The sequence below is a fragment of the Homo sapiens genome, chromosome 4 (genome assembly GCF_000001405.40).
Source record: "Homo sapiens chromosome 4, GRCh38.p14 Primary Assembly".
Taxonomy (NCBI): domain Eukaryota; kingdom Metazoa; phylum Chordata; class Mammalia; order Primates; family Hominidae; genus Homo; species Homo sapiens.
The window spans coordinates 6,668,081-6,693,174 of NC_000004.12; the positions used below are offsets into that span (position 1 = coordinate 6,668,081).

At 52.5% G+C, this 25,094-nt stretch overlaps 1 protein-coding gene and 2 long non-coding RNA genes across 6 annotated transcripts, besides 7 other annotated features; 1 reads left to right on the top strand and 2 right to left on the bottom strand.

Moving 5' to 3' along the window:
- Positions 1–2,647: 2,647 nt before the first annotated feature.
- Positions 2,648–5,801, bottom strand: LINC02482 (long intergenic non-protein coding RNA 2482). Of its 2 annotated transcripts, none has more exons than NR_134665.1 (2): positions 5,604–5,801; positions 2,648–2,913 (listed from the first exon to the last, which is right to left on the bottom strand). It is a non-coding gene; the product is annotated as a long intergenic non-protein coding RNA 2482 (long non-coding RNA). The 2 variants fall into 2 exon arrangements; NR_134664.1 differs by having other exon boundaries at positions 2,648–2,919.
- Positions 4,989–5,597: an enhancer, noted in NCBI's record as "H3K27ac-H3K4me1 hESC enhancer chr4:6674796-6675404 (GRCh37/hg19 assembly coordinates)". NCBI's record gives its function as "activates a minimal SCP1, AML or CMV promoter by ChIP-STARR-seq in primed H9 embryonic stem cells {active_cell/tissue: H9 hESC(primed)}" and the evidence as "EXISTENCE:reporter gene assay evidence [ECO:0000049][PMID:30033119]".
- Positions 5,995–7,967, top strand: MRFAP1L2 (Morf4 family associated protein 1 like 2). Of its 3 annotated transcripts, none has more exons than XM_047416419.1 (2): positions 5,995–6,626; positions 6,913–7,967. In XM_047416419.1, the coding sequence occupies exon 1, from the start codon at positions 6,133–6,135 to the stop codon at positions 6,490–6,492; it is 360 nt and encodes a 119-aa protein (XP_047272375.1). In that variant the 5' UTR covers positions 5,995–6,132; the 3' UTR covers positions 6,493–6,626; positions 6,913–7,967. The 3 variants fall into 3 exon arrangements, with proteins under 3 accessions (XP_047272375.1, XP_047272376.1, NP_619644.1); XM_047416420.1 differs by having other exon boundaries at positions 5,995–6,557; NM_138699.3 differs by having other exon boundaries at positions 5,995–7,967.
- Positions 6,070–6,299: a silencer, noted in NCBI's record as "silent region_15235". NCBI's record gives its function as "represses an Ori minimal core promoter by ATAC-STARR-seq in GM12878 lymphoblastoid cells {active_cell/tissue: GM12878}" and the evidence as "EXISTENCE:reporter gene assay evidence [ECO:0000049][PMID:35858748]".
- Positions 15,052–15,554: an enhancer, noted in NCBI's record as "H3K27ac-H3K4me1 hESC enhancer chr4:6684859-6685361 (GRCh37/hg19 assembly coordinates)". NCBI's record gives its function as "activates a minimal SCP1, AML or CMV promoter by ChIP-STARR-seq in naive H9 embryonic stem cells {active_cell/tissue: H9 hESC(naive)}" and the evidence as "EXISTENCE:reporter gene assay evidence [ECO:0000049][PMID:30033119]".
- Positions 16,106–16,607: an enhancer, noted in NCBI's record as "H3K4me1 hESC enhancer chr4:6685913-6686414 (GRCh37/hg19 assembly coordinates)". NCBI's record gives its function as "activates a minimal SCP1, AML or CMV promoter by ChIP-STARR-seq in naive H9 embryonic stem cells {active_cell/tissue: H9 hESC(naive)}" and the evidence as "EXISTENCE:reporter gene assay evidence [ECO:0000049][PMID:30033119]".
- On the bottom strand, positions 19,368–22,439 carry LINC02481 (long intergenic non-protein coding RNA 2481). Its single transcript, NR_147207.1, has 3 exons — positions 22,219–22,439; positions 21,229–21,379; positions 19,368–20,816 (listed from the first exon to the last, which is right to left on the bottom strand). It is a non-coding gene; the product is annotated as a long intergenic non-protein coding RNA 2481 (long non-coding RNA).
- Positions 20,509–21,708: an enhancer, noted in NCBI's record as "P300/CBP strongly-dependent group 1 enhancer chr4:6690316-6691515 (GRCh37/hg19 assembly coordinates)". NCBI's record gives its function as "activates an origin of replication core promoter dependent on BRD2, BRD4, P300/CBP, MED14 and CDK7 cofactors, with strong dependence on P300/CBP, by STARR-seq in HCT116 cells {active_cell/tissue: HCT116}" and the evidence as "EXISTENCE:reporter gene assay evidence [ECO:0000049][PMID:35650434]".
- Positions 20,710–21,457: an enhancer, noted in NCBI's record as "H3K27ac-H3K4me1 hESC enhancer chr4:6690517-6691264 (GRCh37/hg19 assembly coordinates)". NCBI's record gives its function as "activates a minimal SCP1, AML or CMV promoter by ChIP-STARR-seq in naive and primed H9 embryonic stem cells {active_cell/tissue: H9 hESC(naive and primed)}" and the evidence as "EXISTENCE:reporter gene assay evidence [ECO:0000049][PMID:30033119]".
- Positions 24,482–25,019: an enhancer, noted in NCBI's record as "H3K4me1 hESC enhancer chr4:6694289-6694826 (GRCh37/hg19 assembly coordinates)". NCBI's record gives its function as "activates a minimal SCP1, AML or CMV promoter by ChIP-STARR-seq in naive H9 embryonic stem cells {active_cell/tissue: H9 hESC(naive)}" and the evidence as "EXISTENCE:reporter gene assay evidence [ECO:0000049][PMID:30033119]".

Sequence of the window (25,094 nt, forward strand, 5' to 3'; positions counted from 1 at the left end):
CGTTGGCCAGGCTGGTCTTGAACTCCTGACCTCAAGTGATCCACCTGCCTCAGCCCCCCAAAGTGCTGGGGCGCCCGACCAGAGATCTTTTTACATAGTCTCCACAGCATGGCAATTTCAGGGGAGCCAGACTTCGTATATGGTGGCTTTGGCGTCCAAATGTACAAAACCCAGGAGAGTAAGCATCGGAAGTCCCATAGCATCTCTTTGCCATATCACCTTCACAAAGTCCCGCCAGGGTCAAAGGGAGGAGACACAGACTCCACCTCTTGATGGGCATGGCAAGGTTCTGGAAGAGCAGGTGCAACTGTTAGCAATTGCATTGTGGCCGTTTCTTGAAAATACAACGTGCAAGACACCACGTTTTACTGCCCCGCCCGGCTAGCAGTGGACGTGGAGACAGCTTTGTTGTTGTGGCCGTGATGCGTCCCACACTCCAGTGGCTCGCGCTTCCTGTACCAGACACTCCATTATGGCAGCTGCCTTTGGTGGAAGAATTTAGCATGACTCAGAATTGTGTCGAGCCCAGAATCTTACCAAACCCAGAATCAACATTGTTTCAGATAAATAAATAGTAAATTCTTTTGTTATTCCTAGACTATTCATGTAATGTGGGTTAAGTCATACACAATGTGGTCTGACCAGTTATTATGTGTAATGAGTGTTAAATGGAGTGTGGAACTTACCCAGATTTTCTGAATTAATTCTGATAGAAATAAATTCCACTTTCTATGTCTTTGCACAGTCGTTTGTGTAAAAGAGACCATCCTGTGCCATAATTAAGCACTTGAGGGAAGGCTTCTCCCAAACGGGCTGAAAGTTCACAGATGTGAATTACAGATGATCGGCATGAACTAAATGGCATCAGAGAAGGTGAAATTAAGGACTTTTTTTTCCTTTTGTCCTGGTTACCTCTGTCCACATCCCCTCTTCTCAGAGCCTGATGTGGCCTACAGCTGGCAGTAGTCTTGTAATCTTGATTGTAAAATGTACAAGCTGGCCAGGCGCAGTGGCTCACACCTGTAATCCCAGCACTTTGGGAGGCCGAGGCAGGCAGATTGCTTGAGCTCAGTTCAAGACCAACCTGGGTAACATAGTGAAACCACACCTCTACAAAAAAATACAAAAAAATTAGCCAGGTATTGTGGTATGTGCCTGTAGTCCCAGCTACTCGGGAGGCTGAGTTGCGAGGATCACCTGGGCCAGGGAGGTCGAGGCTGCAGTGAGCCGTGATCGCACCACTGCATTCCAGCCTGGGCAGCAGAGCAAGACTCTGCCTCAAAAGAAGAAAAATAGGACACAGAAGACACTTGGGTTTGGGTTGCAAAAGGGGTGAGGAGGGGTTTTGGAGATACAAAAGGAGTAAATATTGTTTCCTGAAGAGGATGCTTCAAGCCACAGTTTCTAAAGAGAAAATCCAGAACGTCTGGGCCTCCAAGCAAGATCCCTTCACCTGAGAGTGAGCAAATGAAGACATGGGGAAAAGAAGAGACTGGCATTTTAATGTATCCGGGATTATAATCCCACCTACGGCCATCAACTGGCTTTTGCTGCATGAGCCACCCTAAATCTCCGTGACAACAATAAACATTCCTCATGGTCTGCAGTTTGGCTGGGAGTTGGATGATCCAGGCTGGGCTCAGTAATGGTCTGCGGGCCACCTGGTCTAGGCTAGGCCTGTCTAGAGCAGCTTGGTTCTGTGTTTCTCTCACCATCTTCCCAAGACCGGTGCCCGTTCTTCTCATAGCGAAGGCAGAGACGCAGAGGAAAGCGAGTCCAACCGCGAAAGCCTCTTTCAAACCTGTGCTTGTGTCCTCTCTGTGAACCTCTCATTGGCCAAAGCAAGACATGAGGCAGAGAACATGGATGAATGAAGGGGTGGGGAATTGGGGTCATTTATACTACCTACCATCATCTGTGCCCACTGCCCCCATTATTCATGGAAAAATTGCCCACCCCCATCTAAGGACCCCCTTCCTACTTTCTTCCAATCATGGCCTCAAGCAAGAAGTCTAGCATCTTGTGAGCCACATCAGGTCCTAATATGGCTTTTATTGGTCTAGAAGCTTATGCACTTTTTGAAAAGACAAGTTATTGTCCACTTAGACCCAACATTCAGTGATGAGACAGGGACAGGATAAGGCCCATTGGTAAGGGAAGAATGAAGGGGTGAAATAGCAGTCACATAGCTATTTTGAAACTCGGTGGAGTAAACATTGCCAGGTCCTCTACTTTAAAGCTAGGGAATGTAAGGCTTTGGTTCTGCAACCTGGAAGTGGCTCAGCAGCACAGGAGTTGGCAAACATTTTCTGTAAAGATCTAAACAGTAAATATGTTAGGCTTTGTGGGCCACATACAGTCTCTATCACATATTCCTATTTCTCCTTTTCTTTTTTAAAGATATGAAAGTCTTTCTTAGTTCAGGAGCTGCAGTTTGCCATTGGTCCCCACACACTGGCCTGCACTGACACATCCTTCTTTTTCCATCACACTTCTGAAAAGGGCATTTTAAAATGCGCCAGTTTGGGCTACTGAGCCTGCTTTCTGCCGGTGGAAAGATTGGGAGTCTAGAAGTCCTTTGACACTTTGAACTGTCGCTTGGATAAGCTAGAGCATTTTTGCTAATATGTTCACCTCGAAACTTTTGTGGGTTTCCATGTATTTTATTCCATTCCACTCATACCAAGAGACAATTCTTTTTGAGGTGTGTTTAGCTCTCTAGACTTAATTACTGCTGTGTTTGTCACATTGGCTGCAGTGAGATCGTGACATTAGGATTCCTGGGAGCCTGCGCTGGGCAGAATTTAAGATGGCTCCTCCATGATCTTCACTCTCTGGGTGAAAACTGTCGGTCAGCCCATGCCCAGGATTGTTGATCAGTGCTGAAGGTCCTGAGGCTGTTTTTAGCATAGTCTAAAACTTAAGCAAAGCAATAATTATAATTGAGCAAGCAAAATTGTTCTTTAACATGGAATCGATGCTGTTACACAACCACATAAGCACTATTTTAGTCCGTTCACGCTGCTCTAACAAAATACCAGAAACTGGGTGTCTTCTAAACAACAGAAATGTATTTTCTGAGTTCTGAAGGCTGAGCAGTACAAGATCACGGTGCCAGCAGGTTTGGTGCCTGGTGAGGGCCCACTTCTGGTTCATAGAAGCCCATCTTTTTGCTATAACCTCCCACAGCAGAAGGGGTAAGGCGGCCCTGTGGAGTTGTTTTATGAGGGTGCTAATCTCATTCATGAAAGCTGAGCCTTCATGACCACATCACCTCCCAAAGACCCCACCTCCTAATATCATCACATTGGGGATTGCTTTGCAACATATGAATTTTGGGGGGACTCACATATTTGGACCATGGCAAGCCCCTTAAAAGCAGAGTTTTCTCCAGCTGGGAGCAGAAGGGGATGACAGAGAGGCTGGAAGGATAAGAAGGATCCGACATGCTCTTACTGGCTTTGAAGATGGAGAGGGCCACGTTTAAGGACCGGAGAGTGACCTGTAGGAGCTGAGAGTGACCTCTGGCCATCAAGCATGGAGGGTCCCCTTAACTTTCTGCTAGAGGTACACAGTGAATAAGCCTAGACACAATGACATGCAGTGGGTGCTTAATAAAGATCTCTTGGGAAATGAGCATTAAAGCAACATTTACTGGGCTCCTGCTGTATGCCAAGCCCATTTCAAGCTGAGGAAACAGATGACTAAACTGACTAAGTACCTGCCCCTAGGGCCTGTTTTCTCGCAGAGGCACTTATATAGTCCAGTGAAGAAAGAAATCTTCCAGAATGATTCCTAAAGGCATATTCAGAGCCTGGCAGGGCTGAGGAAACAGTGGTGAATCAGACCCACCTTGGCCTTGGGTGCCCACAGTGGGTAAAGCCAGACTCCAACTTACAGCCAAAGCCCCAGGCAGAGTGAAGCTTATACCCTTAGGAAAAAAGTAGGGGGAGGCTGGGTCACAGCACTCAGCATCAGCACCGAGGCCGCAGCTCTGTGTTCCAGGAGCATCTGCCCGAGGCAAGAGGGAGCGGAGGCCCTGGCTGGGGGCAAATCCCGACGCTGTGAGCACCTGGCTTCTCGGAGCCTGGAATATTCTAACGGGACCACTGAATTCGGTTGTTTATTATTTTTATTTATTTATTTTGAGACAGGGTCTCGCCCTGTCACTGGGCTGGGGTGCAGTGGCGCAATCAGGCGTTCAGAGCTCACCTCGGTCTCGACCTGCTGGGCTCAAGCAATCTTCCCGGCTCAGCCTCTCAAGTAGCTGGGACTATCGGCACGCGCCACCACGCCCAGCTAATTTCTTGTGTTTTTTTTGGTAGGGTTTTTTCCCTTGTTGCCCAGGCTGGTATGGAACTCCTGAGCTCAAGCGATCCTCTCACCTCAGCCTCCCAAAGTGCTGGGATTATAGGCGTGAGCCACACGCCCGGCCTGGGTGTTTATGATTTAGAATGTTGGTGAGAGGTGACAGTGTGCTGGCAGTCCTCACAGCCCTCGCTCACTCTCGGTGCCTCCTCTGCCTGGGCTCCCACTTTGGCAGCACTTGAGGAGCCCTTCAGCCCACTGCTGCACTGTGGAGGCCCCTTTCTGGGCTGGCCAAGGCCAGAGCCGGCTCTCTCAGCTTGCAGGGAGGTGTGGAGGGAGAGGCGCGAGCGGGCACCGGGGCTGCACACGGCGCTTGCGGGCCAGCTGGAGTTCAGGGTGGGCGTGGGCTTGGTGGGCCCCGCACTCGGAGCAGCCGGCTGGCCCTGCCAGCCCCCGGCAATGAGGGGCTTAGCACCCGGGCCAGCGGCTGCGGAGGGTGTACTGGGTCCCTCAGCAGTGCCAGCCCACCGGCGCTGTGCTCGATTTCTCACCGGGCCTTAGCTGCCTTTCCGAGGGGCAGGGCTCGGGACCTGCAGCCCGCCATGCCTGAGCCTCCCACCCCCTCCATGGGCTCCTGTGCTGCCCGAGCCTCCTCGACGAGCACCACCCCCTGCTCCACGGCGCCCAGTCCCATCACCACCCAAGGGCTGAGGAGTGTGGGCGCACGGTGCCGTTCTCGCAGGCAGCTCCACCTGCAGCCCTGGTGTGGGATCCACTTGGTGAAGCCAGCTGGGCTCCTGAGTCTGGTGGGGATGTGGAGAACCTTTATGTCTAGCTCAGGGATTGTAAATACACCAATCAGCACCGTGTGTCTAGCTCAGGGTTTGTGAATATACCAATCGACTCTGCTGGGGCCTTGGAGAACCTTTGTGTCTAGCTCAGGGATTGTAAACGCACCAATCAGCACCCTGTCAAAACAGACCACTCGGCTCTACCAATCAGCAGGATGTGGGTGGGGCCAGATAAGACAATAAAAGCAGGCTGCCGGAGCCAGCAGTGGCAACCGGCTCAGGTCCCCTTCTATTGTGGAAGCTTTGTTCTTTCTCTCTTTGCAATAAATCCTGCTGCTGCTCACTCTTTGGGTCCACACTGCCTTTATGAGCCGTAACAGGTCTGCAGTTTCACTCCTGAGCCGGCGAGACCACGAACCCACCAGAAGGAAAAAACTCCGAACACATCCGAACATCAGAAGGAACAAACTCCAGACGCGCCACTTTAAGAGCTGTAACACTCACCGCGAGGGTCCGTGGCTTCATTCTTGAAGTCAGTGAGACCAAGAACCCACCAATTCCGGACACATTGGGAACTTAGAGCAGTGCTTGGGACATGGTTATCAGCGTCAGATATTTCCTTAAACTAGCGTGAAGTCGACTTTAACCTTCCAGCAGTGTGAGTGAGGGCCCTGACCCTAGAATCAACGCCCAAAGAGCTGTGGCGCTACAGCGGGCGGGGACATGGGGTGCGCATGCGTGCGGGGGGGTACGCGTGCGTGCAAGTGCGCGTGCGCGCGCAGGACCGCTGAGGCGGGAGCCCCGAATGCGGTTCTCGCTTGCTGCGTGGCGGTAAAGGACCGCAGGTGTCGTAAAAGGGCCGCAGTGGCAGCGTCCTGGCCGACGGCTAGTAGCCCATTTTGGATACCGTCCTCGCTGCGGAAAGTTGGGGCAACCTGTTGCTAGTCTGGTCGTTGGTGACAGCGAGGCTTCCGCGCTCGCTGCTGGTGAGCAGCCCCGGCGTGCCCCGCGGGCTGGAAGAGGCGGCGGCGTGATGCGGCCCGTGGACGCGGACGAGGCGCGGGAGCCCCGCGAGGAGCCGGGCAGCCCGCTGAGCCCCGCGCCCCGCGCCGGCCGCGAGAACCTGGCCTCCCTGGAGCGCGAGCGCGCCCGGGCGCACTGGCGGGCCCGCAGGAAGCTGCTGGAGATCCAGAGCCTGCTCGACGCCATCAAGAGTGAGGTGGAGGCAGAGGAGCGGGGCGCCCGGGCCCCAGCACCCCGCCCGCGTGCGGAGGCTGAGGAGCGGGTGGCTCGGCTGTGCGCCGAAGCAGAGAGGAAGGCTGCGGAGGCGGCGCGGATGGGCAGGCGGATCGTGGAGCTGCACCAGCGGATCGCCGGCTGCGAGTGCTGCTGAGCCGGCGAGGCCGCGCGGGTCTGGAGCGGAGCGCGGCGGGGAGTGTCCCGCGTGGAAGGCGCTGGGTAGGCAGGGAGGGGAGCGCAGAGCCGTGCCACGCTCTCCGCGGAGTTGGTTTCATTCTTTTTTCATAGGTAATTAGAGAAAATAATTTGATATGTTGTTGTAAAGAGTCATGACCACTGGAAGTATTTTCAGGACGTAGACCTGGTGGGTCACTACGTGGGGGGAGAGAGGTGTGAAGCGGAGGTACATGCTGGAAACGTGTGAATGTTGTTACGAGATTGGAGCGTTTGCGATGACCTTCCTGCAGGTGGAAGCATTGTGCACAGGTGGTTGGGTTTGTTTGACTCCCGGATATGAGAATATCAAGCTCAAAATTTATGTTGTGATGATGAATTTCTCCCACTTGTACTTTAGGTGGCCAACTGACGAACTGTGTTCACCTGATAAGGAGTCGTGGCTGCTTGGACAGGCTCAAACCAAGAGAGCCTTTCGTTTTGTCTCCCCTGTTTTTCTGCCTGCGTTTTCTCCACATTAGCCACTCAATTTCCAGTACCATCCTGGCGGATGACTTCAGCATTAGATGGTCAGGTGTATTTTTTTATTAATAGGCGCATTCAGTTTGGAAAAGACAGCTTTTCATTAATGTCCCACGTAAAGGAATATGGCCTATACAGTACGTACGCTGCTGCGTGGTCATATTTGTTCCTGTGATCTTATTGTATTTTCAAAGTTTGGAAGTATACTCGTGTGCTTTGCTGTTTTTTTATGCTTCCTGGAATTTGGGGACTCATGAGAGACTTGAGGTTAGAGTTCTGCAAGTGAGAAGACACTACATGGTTGCAGCTGCCACATGAAGAACCCAAGCTCCTGTCAAAGTTGTGAATGCGACTTTGGATGAGATTAAGAAGGCCCAGTGGACGGTTGGTCTTGAAGAGTGGCAGTGTGTGGATTTGAGGACCTCTGCAGACCATCAGATCAAAGGAGGGAGAGCTGTTTTGGGTGTTTTGTTTTTTTTGTTTTTATAGCATTTTGCTTTTTCTTGGAATGTAATTTTCCTATGGCATGTTAACTGGTGCACATCGTGTAACCTGTCTGGTGAGCAACCTACAATTGGGATGAGTTCTAGGTACATGTGTTTGCTGACTTTGGGGTAAACAACTTTGTTATAATACAGTCTCTGCCACAGATGCATGTGACCTCTTCAGGGGCCCAGAGTGGCTGAGGAAGGAAAGCTTCAAGCTGGCCATGGGGGTCCCAAACAGTCATTCCAGGCTTAGATGATGACTAGCCTAGGTCATCAGAGCCCAGACTCCACAGAGACTAAAATCAGAGCTCTGTCTTGTTATGATAAATTTCATTTGCTTGGAAAAAGAAATGCTGAAAGCCAGTGTTTAGAATCTTTGTGCAGATGACCAAAGCAATTGACTTGGCCAAGAAAAGGTAAGGTAAATAAACATTTTTCAAAATGAGTTTCTCCTTGATAGTGGTCACTGTCAAATGGAGGAGAATTGCTTCTGACTCACGAGTTGTTCAAAGCCTGTAGCCCAGGGTGGGGTTTGAGCTGCAGAAGAAGAAGAAGGCAGACCTAGAGTAGGAAAGGGGTGCCTCATGAAGCCATATGGTCTGGCCCCAGCCTTTGGAGAGGTGAAGTCCATTCAGGCAGCTAGTGTTCACTGTGACCACAGAGCTCCACACTATGCCAGGCACTAGGAATTTCTTGGAGAGACGATCTAGTGGGTTGAGACAGGTCTGAAAACACAATTACAGTACAGTGTCCGCAATGCTGGTCTTTGATTCAACGCATAAATTGAGCACCTACAGATGCTGAGACTACCTGAGTGAACAAAGTGCTTGTAAAATTGGATCTGAGGGCCAGGCATGGTAGCTCATGCCTGTAATCCCATTTCTTTAGGAGGCCTGAGCAGGAGGATTGCTTGAGGCCAGGAGTTTGAGATCAGCCTGGGCAACATGGTGAGACCCTGTCTCTAATAGAAAAAAAAAGTTGGATTTGTTATTCATAAGATGCTTAGAATTGTGTCTGGCTATAGTAAGTGTTTCCTAAGTATTTGTTAGATAACCCCTAAATGAGGGAAGCAGGAAAAAAATGATATGTACCCATATTAAATAGTGTAAGTTCTGTGGGGGAAAAAAATGGCATTGGGGGATAGGGTGTGGGATTTCTAGTTGATTTGCATGGTCAGGTAACATGTCTGATATGACATTTGAGTGAAGGCTGATGTGTGGAATGTGCATGGGTGTCTGGGGAAAGAGTCTTCTAGGCACGGGGAACAAGTAGGGTAAAAAGGTGAGGCAGCATGAAACCCCAGTGGGAAGGGAGGAAGTGGTGGGCACCGAGGTCAGAGGGAGAAGTGGGTGGATGTGAAGCTGGTGGGGGGTTGCCAGCAGAGGAGCGATGGGAGCTGACCATCTGAGGTGGTGGCTGCTGTGCTCAGGCCTGACAGTGGGGGACCAGGACAAGAGTGGGAGGCAGCGTGGAGAGTGGAGCACGCGCTGTGTGGATGGGGACGGGTGTGGACTGCGTTGGGAAAGTGCCGAGGGCCTGCCTGTGGACATGAGAGGATTCAGCAATGGCTCTGAGGCTCGGGACCTGAGCACCTATTTAGTACCATTTGTCAAACAAACTGGGCCACTTTTGAAAGTGAAGGGTGGCTCTATTAATAGAAATTCATCTGGGACTGCAGATGTAAACAAGGACTTTCACAGGCAAAGAGGTGCTTACGCTGTGTCTGGTGGGAGGACTTAGGGAGGAGTCCCCTCAGACCCACTGACTTGCTCTGAGCGGAAGCATGGGCACAGCTACACAAACAGCACCTCAAGCATGGGGAACACGAAACAGGCCAGGGGCCCAGCGTGGGCTGCAGAGGCCGCCCGTGGATGGAAATGGGGCGGGGGGAATGGGGGATCCTTCGGGAGACCTGTCTTTGAGTCTTGTGTCTCGGGTAAGGCAAGCGCGCTTACAGTTAAATACATTTCCTTTTTTAAAAAAATTTTCCCTGGGATTGTTAAATTTGCTTTAGCAAACTTGTAAAGAGGAACATCATTATATAGGATGTCAGTGGGATGGCAGGAGTAGGTAGAAGTCTAAAACCACACAAAGGGGCCAAAAGGGAAACATTTTGCACTGGCCTGTCTCGTCTGTTACCTCCCAGCCCAATTCCCTAAGCTCCCGCCAGTGTTAGGACACTGAGGATGTGAAAATGAGAAAACAAAAGCCTGTATTACAAGAATCCACTTGGGATTAGGCACTTAACATATCTAATTTTCACAAATATCAGAGGTCATTTTATTATCCCCATTGTTCAGGTGGGGAAACTTCAGCCAAAAACAAAACAGAAAACAACCCTAGAACCTTGCCGGGAAGAATTCAACTGATGCCAAAGCTCTTTCACAACATCAGTAGCTCCTGATGTGCCATCTGCATCCTCTAACTGTCGTGATGGGGTTTTTTTTGTTTGTTTTGTTTTGTTTTTTTTGAGACGGAGTCTCGCTCTGTCGCCCAGGCCGGACTGCGGACTGCAGTGGCGCAATCTCGGCTCACTGCAAGCTCCGCTTCCCGGGTTCACGCCATTCTCCTGCCTCAGCCTCCCGAGTAGCTGGGACTACAGGCGCCCGCCACCGCGCCCGGCTAATTTTTTGTATTTTTAGTAGAGACGGGGTTTCACCTTGTTAGCCAGGATGGTCTCGATCTCCTGACCTCATGATCCACCTGCCTCGGCCTCCCAAAGTGCTGGGATTACAGGCGTGAGCCACTGCGCCCGGCCCGTGATGGTTTTTGAAACAATGGTTCAGAATGCTGACCACTCTGGAGAGGGCTGCAGCAGCAAGCCTGGGACTGAGTTTCTGGCCTCATAGAATGTTCCATGAGAGACCCTCTCTGACTGACGAGAGGTGTAAGTTGTCTCTCAGGCTAAGTGAGATTTGGAGGGCTGAATGCAGGCATCCCCGCTCTGCTCATGTCCCATGTTCCAGATGTCTTCTGGACACCAGCCAGTGGATGTCATAGGATGGATTCACTTCTTTGTTGATGTATTCATCCAGTGTGTTATGCTGGCAATGTACTAGGTCCAACTAAGAAGCAGTTGGCTCCTTGGCGATGGAGTCATTGATTCATTTGTTCAAGTATTCTTTGAATAGATACCAAAGACTTAACATGTGCCAGGCCCGGAGTAGACATGACAGCCACCCTTTTGCACAGCTGCTGCCTTCAGAGGGTTTGCACCCTAGTGGGTGAGATGGACACTTAGCCCCTGTGTGTGGGTGAGAAATGCTGAGCATGAGCAGAGCCCAGGGTGGGTGGTATCTACCCAGCCAGGGAATAGGCAAGGCTCCTTCCCTGAGGGGTCACAGATATGTGTTACATGATTGAAGCCGTGTGGGGATGTGGGCAGGGGAAAGGAGGGTGTGTAGAAGGTTCCAATCTGGCTGGGTGCGGTGGCTCACACCTGTAATCCCAGCACTTTGGGAGGCTGAGGCAGGCAGATCACGAGGTCAGGTTATCGAGACCATCCTGGCTAACATAGTGAAACCCCATCTACACTAAAAATACAAAAAATTAGCTGGGCGTAGTGGCAGGCACCTGTAGTCCCAGCTACTCAGGAGGCTGAGGCAGGAGAATGGCGTGAACCCGGGAGGCAGAGCTTGCAGTGAGCCGAGATTGTGCCACTGCACACCAGCCTGGGTCACAGAGCGAGACTCCATCTCAAAAAATAAAAATAAAAAAAAGAAGGTTCCAATCTGACTGACCCCATCCTGTCAGCAGAGAACAACTGAGGCCCAGCCCTCTACATCTGCATGTTTCCTCATCCTGCCTGACTCCTTTGATGAAGGCAGTTTGGATCTTGGGTGCCATGATGGTAAAAGCTAAGTTTGTGAACTTTGCGTCTTGGGAGCCAAGGGCAATATCCTGTGTATGAGCCTAGAGGAAGAGAACGCACTTGGGGAGGAAGAGCCCCAACCCCGCTGTACATCGGACAGCGAACAGCACACAAGGCGTGGGCCGGGATCAGGAGGGCAGTTCCATTCCTGGCTGTGCTGATTACTCACCCTGTGGCCATCTCTTTGGGGGCCACCATAAAATGATAGATTTGCACTGTGTTGTCTCTGAGTTTCCTTGGAACCTAGACATTTCATTTGACTCAGATTCATATAAAGTAACCAGCCACCTCGTGGACAATTTTAGCCTTGCTCCCTGAGGTAGCACTTTGAAGACAGGTGTCTGAGGCCCTCTCAGAGACTTTTGGAATTTCATTATATGGTCTAGCCACACTCGCACTTCCAAGTAGGTCCTATATTGGGACTAAGAGTCTCATTAGCAGAAGATTCCTGGGTTCCAAGATGCCCTGAGACTTCTCTCCAACTGGAAAAAGGTTGCTGAACAAATGAAATTGATCTTTGATTTTTCTCCCCCTTGATTATGTCATATGACAACATAATTCTTGGGTATTCAGAGGCATCCTGAACTTGGGTCAGGGTGTACCTGTCAGTCTTATTTGTTCAGTGTCCTGTAAGTCAGACACATTTTTCTGTGTTTCTTCATTCCCACAGTCCTGGTCGCACATATACTCTGAGACGCAGAAGAATGAAGAGTTCCTTAATGTGGTCCCTTGAGTCATTGCTCTCTGACAAACCAGTCCCATTATCTTCCTCAGTTTTGTTTCCTCTCTTTCTTGAAAGATAATTTTTCTGGGTATATAATTTTAGGTTGGCGAGTATTTTCTCTTGGTGTCATTAACATGTTATTTCACTAACTTTGGCTTCTATGTTGAGAATTCAGCTGTCACTCCAGTGTTTGGCGCTTAGAATGGAATTGAAGTCTGGGCCACAGACCACAAAGTGCAGAGTGGGCAGGCTTCTGTGGTCCCCCAGTCCAGTTTCTCGGTGCTTCTTCACTCCTGGCCACACTGGCTGCTTTGCTGTTTCCTGGCCATGGCAAGCATGTGGTGTGGCCCCAGGGCCTTTGCCCATGCTGAATCCCCTGACTGGGACACTACTGCAGCTGAACCATGGTAAAGGTGGACAGAGAAAACATGCAGCATTCTTTGGAGAAGTTCTGCTGTAACGTGGCAGAGAAATGGGGTGACTGCAGAGGTAGCTGAAGGGAGGGTGTCTTTCTGTGTGTGACCATGTGTGATGTGGACAGCTGTACCGCCTGACGGGACTGACCTGGTGCAGCAGGACAGATGGGATGCAGGTGGCGCAGCTGCAGGCAGCAGGTGGGGTGGCCCCTGCAGCTCCCCCTGTAGGTGCCTGCCTTCCTCTGCATCTTGCAGAGTCCCTCCTCTGGTGGTCAGCCAGTTCGCATAATCCCATCCCCAACTTAATTCGATGAAGCCAGTAGCCAGAAGTGCACCTGCACTGACACTTCATTTCTAGAACATTTCCTTTGGGAACATTCCAACCACGACCCAAATGCCGCCCCTCCAAGCCCCCAGCCCTCTCCCTGCTTTCCCCCAGAGTCCTGAACTTCAAGTTCTAGGGCACCCCAGCCAGCTTAGGCTCCCCTCACACAGCTTGTTCCACACTTCAGCCCACCAAGTCTTCTGTGGCCTCTCGGGGCCCTCTCCCTCCTGAGCAGTCCAATTTGTTCTAAAGTTATATGTTGGATGATTATGGTTTATGAGCCCTGACCCACGAGCCCTTTCCCCCAGGGTCTCTGGGGGAGCTGGCCTGAAAAGCTTCCACAAAAAGCAGGAGGCCATGTTCTGCCCTCCCTGAGTGGCGTCAGTGCCCTGGGCACAAGGGCTCCCCCTGCCGGCTGCCCCCAGCTCCTGTGCAGCCCTCTGCTGACAGTGGAGAGGCCTCCCCACCATTCAGCAGGCTGCCCCCAGTGCATTCAGCAGGTGCGCCTGCAGCGTGGAGGTGTGCAGGCAGGTGCAGTTCATGACCAAAGGATGGTCGTGCTGTTTCTTAGTCAAGCTCATAGAAGCCCAGGCTCACTGTGGATCCATTCTCGCCCCACTCGGATCGCAGGCAGCAGTCCTCTCAAGGCTCTGCCTGAGCACAGATGACTTCAGAACCCTTATCCGTGTGCAGTCTGGGGGACACCTGGTGGACAGCCTTTTGGGAGGATGTTTGATGTGCTACTTAGACTCCACGAAGGTCCCTTTGGAAGACTCATCCTGCAGGTCCACTTTACTGGAGAAGGCACCAGTCTCATCAATGGCCAATCCACGGAGCATCATTTCCCAGCTTTTTCATTATTCTCAGGATGCTACCAGCCCAGCCCTCCTGAGAGGTTCAACGACTGTGGATGGAAGAGGGGAGCCCTCATTAAAAGAAGACGTTCCCAGCTGCCATCCAGAGCTCATCACACCAAGTCTTTGGGGGCTGTGGGGCAGCTGGGCAGCGTTCTTTGCATTTCTTTGCTCCAGCCTTGGTGCAGGTGGAGGGAGGTGAGCAGAAGATACTTTCCCATTGTGCCTTCTGCATCTGTGAGCTGTGCAGCCCTGGGGAAGGCACCAGGCCTTTCTGAATATCTCTCCCCACCCGTAAGATGGGCATGATACTCCCTGCCTGTATCCCTGTCAGAACTGCTGGGAGGACTGATTGGAGAAAACTTTGCCCTAGATTAGCAATTAAATTTTCGCTAAGGAGCCAGATAGTAAATGCCATAAGAAGGCCGGGCGCAGTGGCTCACGCCTGTAATCCCAGCAATTTGGGAGGCCAGGGCGGGTGGATCACCTGAGGCCAGGAGTTCAAGGCCAGCCTGGCCAACGTGGTGAAACCCCTACTAAAAAATACAAAAATTAGTTGGGCATGGTGGCATGCACCTGTAACCCCAGCTACTCGGGAGGCTGAGGCAGGAGAATCGCTTGAACCCGGGAGGCAGAGGTTGCAGTGAGTCAAGATGGCGCCATTGCACTCTAACCTGGGCAACAGAGTGAGACTCTGTCAAAAAAAAAAAAAAGAAAAAAAAAAAAGGAAATTCCATAAGGTCTTTGTCAAGGCTGCTGAGCCTGAATAAGTCCAGTAAGGTAATGCACCCCACTGGCAGATGAGTGGAGAAAGAAAAACACACTAAGGTCTCATTAGACACAGAAAAGGCATTTCACGCAATCTAGTACATGAACATTCATTTCAAAACTTCTCACACGCTAGTACTAGGTGGATAAAATTGTCCACTTACAACCTGCGGGAAACATTCTCCTTAAGCCAGGGGACAATGAAGCCATGCCATGTAACATGATGGCAGCAGGGTGCTTGTGGCTGGAGCGGGAGGGCTGGGGCGGGGAGCAGTGAGGCAGAGATTTGGTTGGTTGCTTGGTTGGTTTTAAATAAACCTTTACCACCCATGCACCTGGGAAACACTTAATCGTGGCTCACACCAGCCAGCTCTCCTCACCTAGTTGCAGACAGCACCCCAGGTCTGCTGTGGGCAGCAGAGTTTGGCAGGATGCTGACCCTCACCTTGACCCTGACCCCTCCAGTCCTCCACCCTCTGTCTCTCCTCTCCCAGCCCTGCCTCCATACCACCCACAGCTCCAGGAAAGGGGCCCCTGTCCTGAGCTGGGCTCCAGGCATTCAGAGGTGGGTTGGACCCACCCTTGGCCTTTGCAGAGCTCCCAGGCCACTGGCAGGGCTAGTGCTCGTAGAGAGGGAGGCCCTAACCAAAGGGACCAGAACAAGAGGGACGAGACCGCCTTGCTGGACTGAAGTGGAAAGCGTGCTGGGAGGGCTCAGGTGGAAAGGCAAGCTGTGCCAGAGCAGGACAGTGGCCATGGTGCCTGTGAAGGAAGATGCGCGCCTTCTCACTGCTGCACACACCAGCGCTGACTCCTACAAGCTGGGGTGTGTGGCAACATTCTTCTGGAAGAAACCACAGCAACTGTTAGTAGTTGCCCCAGACTGAGGGCTGAGGCTGGGTCGAGTGAGGGTTTTCCGTTTCATCAGGTGCCCTTCTAATCTCGCTTAAATTTTCTAAACCTGCTTGAGACCCTCTTTATTTAGTTGCTAATATCAACAAAATATATCTGAGTAGCAAGATTAAGCTCCGTTTTTTTGTTATTTATACTTCATAGTGTTTAAAAAACTAATAAAAGTAATATTAAGCCAGGTGTGGTGGTTCATGCCTGTAATCCCAGTGATTTGGGAGGCTTGCTTGAGCCCAGGAGTCCAAGACCAGCCTGGGTAACATAGCAAGGCCCCGTCTCTACAAAAAGAATTTTTAAAAAATTAGTCCCCACTACTCAGGAGGCTGAAGCAAGAGGATGGCTTGAGCCCAGGAGTTCGAGGCTGCAGTGAGCTATCATGCCACTGCACTCCAGCCTGGGCAGCAGAATGAGACTCTGTCTCTAAAAAATTTAAAAAGTAGTGTTATACAATTTTTTTTTTTTTGAGACAGAGTCTCGCTCTGTTACCCAGGCTGGAGTGCAGTGGCACAATCTCTGCTCACTGCAACCTCCAACTCCCGGGCTCAAGCGATTCTCCTGCCTCAGCCTCCCAAGTAGCTGGGATTACAGGCGCCTGCCACCACGCCTGGCTAATTTTTGTATTTTTAGAAGAGACGGGGTCTCACCATGTTCGAGGAGGTCACCTCGAACTCCTGACCTCAGGTGATCTGCCCACCTCGACCTCCCAAAATGCTAGGATTACAGGCGTGAGCCACTGTGCCTGGCCACAAATTTTTTAAAATAAACGTTAGAGGTAAAACATGTAAGCATTCAGGTGCTTCAACTTTAGTCTCATTTCCAGGAGTCCATCTAAAGAAAGAGGGGCCGGGCCAGAGTGCTCAGCAGCAGTCCCCATCCGCACACCTCCAGGACAAGCGCCACAGTGTCGCGATCACAGTTGCTGGCTGAGGGAAAATGTCTCGTGCACTTTATTCAGGGTCTTCACAGCTCCCCATGAGGCAGATGCCAGCGTCGCTCTCTGCGGGCTCCCCTTAAGGCCCCCGGTTCCAGAACAAACCGCTGCTCTCCTCACAAGGACAAGAGACTCCCCTGCTCTCCCGCCACTTCAGGAGACAGTGGGCACCTGAGGGGGCTGAGATTTGGAGAAACGGCCCCCCTTTCCTGAGCTGGCAGGGCTGGGAGTGGCTGCACCTCATAGACCAATTCCAGGAGTAGGACCCATGAGTCCTCTTCTGGTCCCAGACCCAAGCTAGCTTCTCCAACCCAGCTTTCCCGTGAACAGGATGGCCAGGCTGTGGCTCTGCGGTCTTCCCAAGGGAAGGAGGAGGCAGGGGGCTTGCACACCCCCAGGCTTCGCCCTACTCCTCCCCGCCTGACCTCTCTTGCCTGCACCGTGGGCTGGCGGGTTGGTCCCCACCAGGATGCCACAGCACCTCCTCCAGGGCAGGGACCACACTCTCCCCGGTATCCCCAGCACCTAGCGAGAGTGTTTCCAACCAAGCGTTTGCTAAACTGAACCCAGAGCCAGAAAGGAGCTTGGAAAAACTCACATGCCTGGGGCAGCCCAACCTCAGGTGAGGGGAGCGGGGGGCTTGACTGTCCCGCTCTGGCAGGAACGGATGCCCAGTGTGGTCACATCATCTGATTTCCATGTTAGGAATCCTCTTGTGTGTGTGTGTGTGTGTGAAACCTTATTTTTGAACATTGGTAACTTATTTTAACACTGATTGATTGATTGAGTTTTAAGCGATTGGCTCGTGTGATTGTGGGGACTGGTAAGTCCAAACTCTTAGGGCAGGCTGGCAGGCCTGAGACTCAGGGAATAGCTGATATCTCAGGCTTGAGTCCACACGGTGCAGGCTGGAAACTGAGTCAGGCTTTCTGTATTGTGCTCTCGAGGCAGAATTCCTTCTGGAAACCTCAGTTTCAACGGATTGGACGAGGCCTACCCACACTATGGAAGGTCATCTGTTTTATTCAAAGTCCACTAGTTAAATACTAATGACACCCAAAAATATCTTCACAGCGGCATCTAGATGAGAGTTTGAACAAACAACAGGGCCAATAGCCTATCCAAGTGGACAGATAACATTCACCATTCAGCTGCCAATGAGCAACTGCCGGATGGGCACTGCCCATCCTCACAACAATCCTTGGGGTAGGAGCATGTGCACCCCATCCATTTTACAGATGAGAAAACTGGGCTTAGAGAGGTCCCCAGCCAGCACATGGCTGAGCCAGACTTGGACCCCATCCTCTGCTCCAGGCCTCAGCCTGCACCCCCACCCCAGGGTGTTGACCTTGGCAGCACTGGGAGACTCGCTGCGAGGGCAGAAGCGGCAAATGTGGGGTGTGCCGACTGCAGACTTAACAGGACTTCCACAGGCTGCAGTGCCCAGCCTCTCTCCCTCCTCCTCTCAACTCCTCCTCCTCCAGGTTCTCCAACAGGCCTTCCCTTTGTGGGCACCCAAGACCCAGACAGGGGAGCTGACTATGGAGACTGCCTCGCCTGGGTCAGGACCCCCAGTGCACATGGCCACTCGGGGGTGGGAAGAACTGTCTCTCCAGGAACTGGCTGGATGGGTCTGGGAGATGGAGACCCCGTGTTTTCACAGGGCTCCTGATTTCTCCCCATGTGAGTTTCTTAGTCTAAATAGAAATGTTTTAAAACCCCTGGTGTTCTAATGTGCCCAGCATGCACTGTGCACGCCTAGGAATCTGGGCACCTTGGTGTGAGAATGTGGGCTCTGTGGGTTCAGAGTCCTGGAGGTGATCTCATCTGAATCCCTTGTTTTACAGATGAAGAAAGTGGCCCTAGAGGAAGGAAAGGGCCCCAGAGTCACTCAGGAAGTCAGTGACCCAGGGGCTGGGCAGGCTGCTCACCTGAGGCCAGTACCCTGCACCAGCCAGCCCTGTGCTCACAGGCAGGGGGCCCCGTTCCTGCCACCACCGGGACACTTGAGATGTCCCTGTGCTTCTACTTAAAATGAAGGTCACAGGGAGGAATTCATGTCCATGCCAGAGGGATCTGATGAGGAAAGACATTTGAAGCCTTTTTGGTTTTAATTTTTTTGTAGAGATGGGGTCTTGCTATGTTGCCCAGGCTGGTCTTGATCTCCTGGGCTCAAGCCATCCTCCTGCCTCAGCCTCCCAGAGTGTTGGGATTACAGGCACGAGCCACTGCATTGGCCTGAAGGACATTAGCATGTTAGATGGGCATCTGCCAGGCCTGGGTCAGCACATGCAGGAAGGTGCTCTGAGTCCCCTATGCTTCAAAGCAGAGTGCTCTCCACCACAGGCAGTCCTGGACTTGGACCCAGTCTCCCCAGATTGTCAGGGGTTTTCTGGTACTCTGTCACCTGGAAGTCTTGACTCACAAAAGAAATCAACTCAACAGAGATGATGGTGTGGCCTTGAGGAAGGCCTTGAGTGAGAAGGCAGGAGTAGTGGGGACCCGCAGATCTGGGGGGCTGTGGAACATGGAACCCTGGCCCAAAAAAGGTGGTTGGAAGACACTATGCAACCTGCTGCATCTCCTTTGAGAAGGTGGGCTTTTTCTTTCTGTTCAGGCACTTTGCCAGCGTTTAATATTTCATGTCCATCACCAAAGCCACTCTACAGCAGCTCACAGGGGTGCAGAATCACAGACTTCCAGCTTTAGGAAATATCTAAATTCCTCATCCCGCTCTCTGTCCCCCACCATCCACATCCCCCTGACTCCCGCCACATGGAGCTGCTTCCCTATCCCACAGCTTCTGCCCCTGCTGCAATCTCTCCAGATGTGCCACACTCTGTCCCAGCTCCAGTCCCTGTCGCCCCTGTGAGAATGTCCTGAGACCGGAGCACACATCAGAATCCCCTGACAGGTTTCTCTGGCCCCTCTCCCAGCCTTCCCTGCAGTGGATGCCCTGCCTCAGGGTTGTTCTAGCTCAGGGGATGCCGGCCCTGCTGTTCTGGTGTAGCAGGAGGAGCCACAGACAAAACTCCTCAGACACTGGATTAAAGAAGGAAGAGGTTTATTCAGCCGGGAGCATCAGCAGACTTGCGTCTTAAGAGCCGAGCTCCCGGAAAAAGAAATTCTTGGCCCTTTTAAGGGCTTACACCTCTAAGGGGCCCACGTGAAAGGGTCATGATAAATCGAACAAGCATGGGGAACGTGACTGGGGGCTACATGAATCAGCTAACAGAACAGAAAATTTTGCAATGCTTTTTCCTACAATGTCTGGAATTTACAGATAATACAAGTAGTTTAAGTCAGGGGTCGATATTATTATTATTACTTTTTTTAACTACCAGGGCCAGGTGGTGGTGCCAAGGTCTTCTGGCTATTTATCTTACTTCTGTTTTTTTTTTTTTTTTTTCTAACTTTTTGCTTTCTCTCTTTCCTCCTGTCTTGTAAACTAGGCAAGGTCGGGGGAGGAGGGCAGCAAGAGTAGTAGTGGTCTCCTTCCTTACTGGGACCACGCTCTGAAGACCATTCATCCAAGCAAGCCCCTTTGTCTAGCAAACACCTTCTGCTCCTTCAAGTCTCATCTGAAGCACCACCTCCTCCAGGAAGCCTCCCTGACGTTCCTGCCTGGGTAGCCGCTCCATGGGGCTCCCACAGCACACCACTGTCACACTGCACTGTCACCATCCGCTGCTTCTCAATGTCCTTGACTGAACTGGTAGCTCCTCGAGGGACAGGATGAACCAGTCACACAGCTCCTCTCCAAAGAGCTCCCAGCAGAGAAGGCAGCTGGGAGCGAGGAAGGAGGGAGCAGCAGGTGCTTCGAGCGCCACTGGGTGGCCGACACCTGCCAGGCACCTCACACGCTCCGCTGCAGTTCATCCTGCACTTTACTTACCCTTGAGTCCCCCTATCTCTGATCATTGTCACTGGTTCCTAGGAAACTGACACTCGGGTCACAAAACTTGTCCAAGGTGTCACAGAACAAATAAAGGACAAAGCCAGGGACCAAACTAAAGTCAACCTCTGCCTTTCTACAATGCCAGGCTGCTCACCGTCAAGCAACTTGGCGGTGTCACCGAACTCTGCACCGGTGTACTGAGGTGAACAGCATCCCCCAAAATTCATGTCCTTCCCAGGACCTCAGAATCCAGCCTTCTTTGCAAATCAGATCATTGTGAAAGTTCTAAGTTAAAACGGGGTCATGCTGGGGTAGGGAGGGTCCTTAATTCAATATGACTTGTGTCCTTCTGAGACACAGAGGCACATGGGGGGCCAAGTGACAACAGAGGCAGCGATTGGAGTGCAGGGCCACAGGCGGAGGAAGGCCGCCAACCACCGGAGCTGGGGACGGGCAGGGAACAGAGTCCTGCTCTGAGGCCCCAGAAGGAGCAACCCTGATGACGCCTTCATTTCTGCCTTCTCGGCTCCAGAACCAAGAGGGAGCCCATTGCTGGTGTTTTCGGCCCTCCAGTTTGTGGTGATTTGTTCCACAGCCCCTAAAAAACAAATACTACCGGTTGGGAATACTCAGTCACCAGCAACAAGAATCCCCACAGCGTCTCCACGTGGCTGCACGTAGCCGAGGGAGATCACGCCCAGGATTCCTGCAGGAAGAAAGCAGACGGCTGAGAGCCTCCTCTTTGTATTCGGCAAGACCAGGCTCCGTAGCCCTCAGGGAAACATTCGACCACAACTGTGGTGTGTGGGCCCCGCTGTTTGCTAGAGAGCCTGAGAGATGAGTCATTGGTTTCTAGCCTGGAGAAAGACGCCTGCGAGGCGAGACTGTCAGGGTCTCTGCCGCCCTCCCCAGGAGCTGTGTCCCTGAGGTGAGACGCCACCCCTGCCCTCACAGCTACCCGGTGCATGACCCCTGTGTCCAGCCTGTCCCTGAGAAACTGATTTCCTCACCTCTCTCAGCCTCCTCCCTCATCAAATATTTGTCGGAGGCATTATCAAGGATCAAACCGGTTTGATCCAGTGCAGTGCAGGAAACGCGGGCAGGGTGGAGGGGCCTGGGCTTGTTGACCAAGTTCCTCGCTGTGAGCCTCGGTTTCCCCTTCTGCAAAGTGTGGAGATCTCATCAGGTGATGAGTGAGGCCCCTCCTCCTCCTTCAGTTTCCTGCTCCTGCCCAGGCCTCCGCCAGCTCCCAGTGTCCTTGGGCGAGTGCTGCGGGGACCCTGAACCGCACATGGCTGGGGGCTCCTCACCCTGCAGCCCCTCACTGCCTCACCGTGCACATCCGCGTCTCACACCAGCGGCCATGTGGGCCTCAAAAGGGCAAACCTGACGGTGCCTCTTGTGGCTGATAACTCTCCAGACCATTGACCTGGCACAACAGGATCACCTGGGAGGTGCTGGGCCAGCCCAGCCACTGAACGGGCAGCTCTGCCTGGGTGCGGCCCAGCAAGAGCTAGTTCTTAAAATCACCTAGGAGCTCGGACGTGTGGCTGGCTCTGCGAGGCCCAGAACTACAGGATCAAGCCCCTGAGGGGCCTTCCCTGGTTGGTGCCCTCCTCCCCCTCCAGCCCATCTCCACCCTGGACCCCCGCTGCCCATCCCAACTTCTTGATTCCCCAGAGCACTGACTGGTTGTTTGTGCCTTGTTCCTCACTGTCCCACATCCCAAGGCACCGACTCCTCCAAGCCTGCCTCCCACTCCACTCCCACTTCACTCTCCCCATGCCCTTCCCGGGCATGAGTTCCTCCACCCCCCAGCACAGGCCCCGCCCTCCTCCTGGCCTCTCTGCTTCTCCCCTTCCCAGTCACCTCTTCCTTGCCACCTCCTCCATGCACATGGCGCCCTCTGTGGCTGGTACTCCCTGACACCAGGATCCCAGCCTCGTTCATCGTGCATCCCCCAGCCCAGCACAGGGACTGGAGAGCTTGGATCAACTTACAGCTCCCACCTGCTTGGGCCGGTGCTGGATCCTGGGCTACACTCGAGGGGCCGTCTGTCGCATCTGCTGAGCACAGATGTCTGGAGAAGGCCCCATCTGATCCAGATTCCAGAGGACAGAGGAGTCACTTCCAGAGCTGTTCCCATGACACTCAGGACAGGCTGGGCAGGCCAAGCCTCACCTGCCCCACTGCATAGCTTGTGTTTTCCTGAAACCTCCTGATCCCCACCTGGGCCCGACTGACTGGGGATGTCTCCTGCCTGCCCATCTCCGTGGTGATAGGGCGGCCTTGCCGAAACAAGGCCACATCCTGGCCTTCCCGGGGGTTGACTGCTGGGCCCCTTCCTGTCAGCGGTTGCTCTTTACCCTGGTTAACATGTAGAAGCTCGTGGTTCGAGCTCTTCATCTGGCCTCTTTTTTTTTTTTTTTTTTTGAGACAGAGTCTGGCTGTCGCCCAGGATGGAGTGCAGTGGTGCGATCTCAGCTCACTGCAACCTCCACCTCCCAGGCTTAAACGATTCTCCTGCCTCAGCCTCCCGAGTAGCTGGGATTACAGGCACGCGCCACCATGCCTGGCTAATTTTTGTACTTTTAGTAGAGACAGGGTTTTGCATGTTGGCCAGGCTGGTCTCGAACTCCTGATCTGAAGTGATCCACCTGCCTTGGCCTCCCAAAGTGCTGGGATTACAGGCGTGAGCCACTCCCAGCTGCCTCAAGGGCAACTCCCCGCATGGCAATAATCACGACCCCTACAGCAACATTCCTGAATAAAGTCAGAATAATTTTCTCTTTAACTGGTCCTCTGACTCAGAGGTCTGTGTTGAACCCTTTCTTGGAAAATGCCACCTCCCTCCTGAGAAGAGTCTCCAAGGGGGCTTGTCCTCAGAGTTACCCAGGTGAGCTACTCCAGCAGGGGCAGCCCTGGTGGTTTGGTGACACTCCAGTGGCCTGAACGGGTGGGGGAGTGCAGCAGTTTCCACCCGATGGATGTCCTGATCCTTCCTCCCACAGCGGTGAAAGATTAAAGTGAATAGTCGGGCATGGTGGAGCGCCCCTGTAGTCCCAGCTACTGGAGAGGCTGAGGTGAGAGGATCACTTAAGCCCAGGAGTTGGAGGCTATAGTGAGCTGTGATTGAGCCACTGCACTCCACCCTGGGTGAGAAAGCAAGACACTGTCTCTAAAAGTAAATAAATGGGGCCAGGCACGGTGGCTCATGCCTGTAATTCCAGCACTTTGGGAGGCCGAGGTGGGCAGATCACTTGAGGTTAGGAGTTCAAGACCAGCCTGGCCAACATGGTAAAACCCCATCTTTACTAAAAATACAAAAATTAGCTAGACAAGGTGGTGCATGCCTATAATCCCAGCTACTCAGGAGGCTGAAGCAGGAGAATCACTTGAACCAGGAGGCAGGGGTTGCAGTGAGCCAAGATCGTGCCACTGCACTCCAGCCTGGGTGATAGAGCGAGACTCCGTCTCAAAAAATAAATAAAAATAAATAAATAAATAAAAATTTTAAAACAAAGTGATGACCGGACTGGCCAACATGGTGAAACCCCCAAAAAATTAGCCTGGTGTGGTGGTACATGCCTGTAGTCCCAGCTACTCGGGAGGCTGAGGCTGGAGAATCACTTGAAACCGGGAAGTGGAAGTTGCAGTGAGCCGAGATCACACCACTGCACTCCAGCCTGGGCAACAGAGTGAGACTCCATCGCAAACAAACAAACAAACAAACAAAAAATATATGTGTGTGTATATCTATATATATATGTGTGTGTATATACATATGTGTGTGTGTATATATGTGTGTGTGTATATATGTGTGTATACATATATGTGTATATATGTGTATATATATGTGTGTGTGTGTGTGTGTATATATATATCTATATAACGCAGTGAATGCCCTTCCTGAGGAGCACTGCCTCTGGGGTAGGGAGCCTCCTTCTCTCTCCCACTTCTCTGGCTGGGGTGGTATGATGGTGGCCTGTGCTGTGCGACCTTATCCCAAGAGGGAACTGCCCAGCTCAGGAGTGAGCAGAATGGACCTGTCCCTGCTCCCCAAGGGGTCACCAGTGGGGCCAGTCTGAGCCTCCACTGCAGGACACCTGGGCAGAGGCAGTGTGTTCTGAGAAAGCCGGCTCTTGTGAGACCTGCTGCTGCCATCGTGCACCAAGGTTTTTCTATGTTGAGCCACAGCCCCGTGGGGAGAGTCTCGGCCCATGTGCTGGTGGAGGCTGTGTTGGGAGAGGTTAGGGAACTTGCTGGAGGCTGACACTCTGGAAGATCTCTGCTGAGAGAGAGGCCTTTGAGTGTGGGCCTACTTTGACCGGGGCAGGATGTGAACACAGGCCCCTACCTCCATGCTCTCCAGGACTCGCTCAGCCTCCCAAGCACAGACCCTCTGAGTACCTCCGCTATAGAGACGGGGAGGGGTGTGACTGTCCCTGACTCTGCCCAGAGTCCCAGGAGCCTTTGTGCCGTCTAAGCCCTGTGGGTGATTTGGGTTTGGTAAGTGCCGGGGCTCAAAAAACAACACCCCAACGTGGAAGCCTCAGAAACAAAAGTTTCTCTGTCCTGCTCCCACCCTCCTGTCTCCAGCTCCTCCTCCTCTGAGAGGCTTCCCCAAACCCTGCCATAAAACCCAGAAATATGACTCCAGTTCTCCACTCCCTCCCCTTTCTGTGTAGAAACCAGCCTAAAGAAACCCTCTGGCCTGCTTTATTTGACTGTAGGTCATAAGAGCTCCATTCCAGAAAGAGTCCTGCCCCACACCTAGAAGGAAGGAGAGCTGCTCAGAGAGGCCCCAGGGAATCTGACTCAACAGGCCCTACCAGGCTCTCCTCTTGGTCTGTGAGCATCCAGCCTTACTTTTGTA